Source organism: Homo sapiens, chromosome 9 (genome assembly GCF_000001405.40).
Source record: "Homo sapiens chromosome 9, GRCh38.p14 Primary Assembly".
Taxonomy (NCBI): domain Eukaryota; kingdom Metazoa; phylum Chordata; class Mammalia; order Primates; family Hominidae; genus Homo; species Homo sapiens.
Genome location: NC_000009.12, coordinates 122,199,315 through 122,202,581, shown reverse-complemented (window position 1 = coordinate 122,202,581; position 3,267 = coordinate 122,199,315). Strand labels below are relative to the sequence as shown.

At 50.3% G+C, this 3,267-nt stretch overlaps 1 protein-coding gene across 2 annotated transcripts in view, besides 1 other annotated feature; it reads right to left on the bottom strand.

Moving 5' to 3' along the window:
* Window positions 2,499-3,267, bottom strand: part of MORN5 (MORN repeat containing 5) — a 40,176-nt gene continuing 39,407 nt past the window's right edge. For both annotated transcript variants that reach the window (NM_198469.4, NM_001286828.2), the window contains one exon: window positions 2,499-2,697. In NM_198469.4, the coding sequence (NP_940871.2) occupies window positions 2,651-2,697 (47 nt within the window). In that variant the 3' untranslated portion in view covers window positions 2,499-2,650. The remainder of the gene's footprint in view (window positions 2,698-3,267) is intronic.
* Window positions 2,511-2,723: a silencer, noted in NCBI's record as "fragment chr9:124962138-124962350 (GRCh37/hg19 assembly coordinates)". NCBI's record gives its function as "represses an EF-1alpha promoter that drives an FKBP-Casp9 reporter gene in an ReSE screen in K562 erythroleukemia cells {active_cell/tissue: K562}" and the evidence as "EXISTENCE:reporter gene assay evidence [ECO:0000049][PMID:32094911]".

The following is a 3,267-nucleotide window of genomic DNA, read 5'->3' as shown; positions in this document are numbered from 1 at the left end:
GAACATGATGGGATTCCATTTCTTTCCTGCTCTCTGGTGAAGGGCTTAGGTCCCTGGCTCCCAGAATATGTGGGCTGCTGGACAGTGTAATCCTCCTTCCTGGGAAACGGGTACCATTTCCCAGTTAGTAAACAATGGATTGTGGAGGCCTGACGATGGGTTTCTTCTGTAAGTACTCAGTCACACCTGCTTCTTATCTAAGCTTTGGAGGAAATCAGGCTGCTTGATGCCCTCTGTTCCAGTCTCTGAACATACACTCTCTGCTGGGCCCTGTGCTGGCTCTGCACACTGAGAAAAGGCTCCCAGCCAGACCTTGTCCTGGAGGAGCTCTCAGTCTGGCAAATACTGTGGGAGCCAAGGGGGTGGGTGTTAAAGCTGGATCCTATCAGATGAGAAGGTCACAGAATAGGTAAGCAAGAGGGTGGGGCAGGGAGGGAGGTGCAGAGGAGCGTGTTTGGAAGATGGGGAAGAATTTAATAAGGTGAAGTTAAGGGAATATGGAACGGGCAGCAGGGCCCCAGGTTCTGCACAAGACTGGGTCTTATAGTGGTTTTGTCAGGCTCCAGAGCCACCACCTCATAACCTGAGGAGTGAGAGAGCGCATCTTTTTGGTGGTTGTCAAATTTCTTTCAGCAGCAGAGTCATTTGCTCAAGCCAAAGCTCCTGGTGTGGAGAGCACAGCTGCCCTGCAGAATGCAGAGGCTTCCCTGGCCTGCTGTGGCCCTGCACAGAAATGAGTTGCTCAGAAACCTCAGCTCATGGTGCACATGAGTCACTGACTGCAGGGCCCCTCTCTCTATTCTACTAGTTTTTAAATCTCCCATCCCTGATTCCATTTCTGCTCCTCATACATCTGCTCTTCCAATCCATTTTCAAGTGTTTAGATATATGTGTATCTTTGAAAATATATGAGTTTAGTTGTGTGTTTCTTTACATGAATGTACCTTCTGTTTTCAAAATACAGTTTGGAAACCACCGGTGGAGCACAACCCTATCTACCAAGGTGACTGGCGTCTTGGGGAGAGGTGATCCTCCCAAGTCTGCTCCCTAGCGCAGCTGAGAGTGAGCCCAGGCCTCCCTTCCCGCTGACTCCTGGCTCTGCCCCAGCATGACGCCTCTGGGTCCCTAGTTTGAGATCCAATTTCCTCTCCTGCCTTCCAAGCCTGACTCACTGTTCTGCCTCCACTGGGCAGCCCTGGTGAGCCAGGGGACAGAGCATAGGGGGTAACAGGATCTAGCAACCTCTAAGGAGGAACAGTTAGACAAAGATCCAGGATGCATATGGCCCATATGTGGCCCTGGAACATGTTGTCGCTTCCTCTTCTGATTTTTAGCTGACAAATGTGACCTCTGGGATGATTTTGAGGAATGATTATATGCACCACTAACAAGTTGTTCTTTAAAGCAAACACATATTGAATACCTACTATGCGCCAGGTCCCCTACTTGTATTATCTCATTTAACCACACGGCTACTGTATTGTTTTAAAGCATTATTATAACCATTTTTTATATGATGCCAAAGCCACATTCTTTTTTTTTTTTAGACAGAGTTTCACTCTGTCACCCAGGCTGGAGTACAGTGGTGAAATCTTGGCTCACTGCAACCTCCACCTCCCATGTTCAAGCAATTCTCATGCCTCTGCCTCCCAAGTAGCTGGGAATACAGACGCATGCCACCATGCCCGGCTAATTTTTGTATTTTTAGTAGAGATGGGGTTTCACCATGTCGGCCAGGCTGGTCTCGAACTCCTGGCCTCATGTGATCTGCCGGCCTCGGCCTCCCAAAGTGCTGGGATTATAGGCGTGAGCCATCACACCCAGCCTCCAAAGCCACATTCTTTCTATGGCACCATGCTGATTCTGTGCTTAGGATGTGAGGTTCAAATGGGGGAGCTGGCAAGAGGGAAAGACAGGCCTGAGTAATCATTCTTGGGCCTAACAAGCTTGTCCAACCCACCTTATTTTGTTGTTGTTGTTTTTGTGTTCTGTTTTGTTTTAGGCTTTCAGCAGCCTGAAGCCATGGTTTTTAGTTTCTGTCTCTAGTGATAAGCAGAAAAGAGGGATGAGGAAGGGGCTTCACTGGCCCAACCAGAAACAGAAACTAAGAACCCATGACTGCTGCAGGACTGGGCACAGTGATCAGGTCCTACTGCCCTCTGAGACCAAGCAAGTCACTCTGTCTCTCTGAACCTCAGATTCCCCATCTGCAAAAGCCTTCCCCTTGCAAGGCTGTTGTGAGGAGCAGAGATAATGCACACGCACTACCTGCGCCGGTTAGTGCTCAATTACATCTATCTATTATTATAAAGAGATGGTTCTCAAACGTTCAGATGCATGAGAAATGCTGGGAATGCAAATTACTAGGCCCCATTCCCAGAGATTCTGATTGGGAGGTCTAGGGTGGGGCCTGGGAATATCTATAGCTCACAATTTTGTCCAGGTTAAATGATGCCCACTGAGGAACAATCTTTTAAGGAAAATACACCTGGGGCCACTGACCGCAGAAAGTCTTTATTCCTGAGTTAAAATCAGGTTCTAGAACTACAGCCCGTCCCCCAGGGCAGCCAATGCTAGTAGGGCAGATGGAAACCTCTGGTGGAGGCAGCCACAGAGTTCACGGCTCGGGCCTGTGACCCACGATCTCATCCTAGCCCTTTCGACAGGTACGGGTGATCCACTCATGCTCGTCATCATCTGCAAGGAAAGAGGAAGAGCTGGTCATGCTTGGTGCTCGCTGGGACCTTTCCTGGCCTGGGGGGTTCCCCAGGTGGGGCGTTGGGACTGGGATGGTCCGTCGATGGCCAGTCTGTGTAGTTTTGTGTGGGGAGGAACAGACCTTTCATTTACACTGAATTCCTCGGAGTGGCTGGTCTTGGGGAAATTGAACACAGAAGGGTTTCTAACTGTGGGTGCTGCTGGCGGAGGCAAGCATGAGGAGTCTGGCCACCCTAAGCTGGACTCATCCTGACAGGCAGAGAGCAGCTGCTTCACAGTCGGGCACTTGCCTGGTCTGACAGCCCACGCACGACAGCCCCAGGACAGTGGGTCTAGGCCTTGCCGGTGGTGCTAGGAGACAGAGTCCTGAGATCTTCATTTCCTTTCTAGGCTCTCCATTCTTGACCCTTTCAAGAACCCATGGTTTCTCCAGGGGACTAACACCCTCTTGTTTACTCCAGGCCTTTCAGTGGGGAACGGAGAGGGGCAGGAGCTCGCCGCTGTGCCTGAAAGCCCTAAACGCAGTGTCTCCTTAGTTTAATCTTCGTG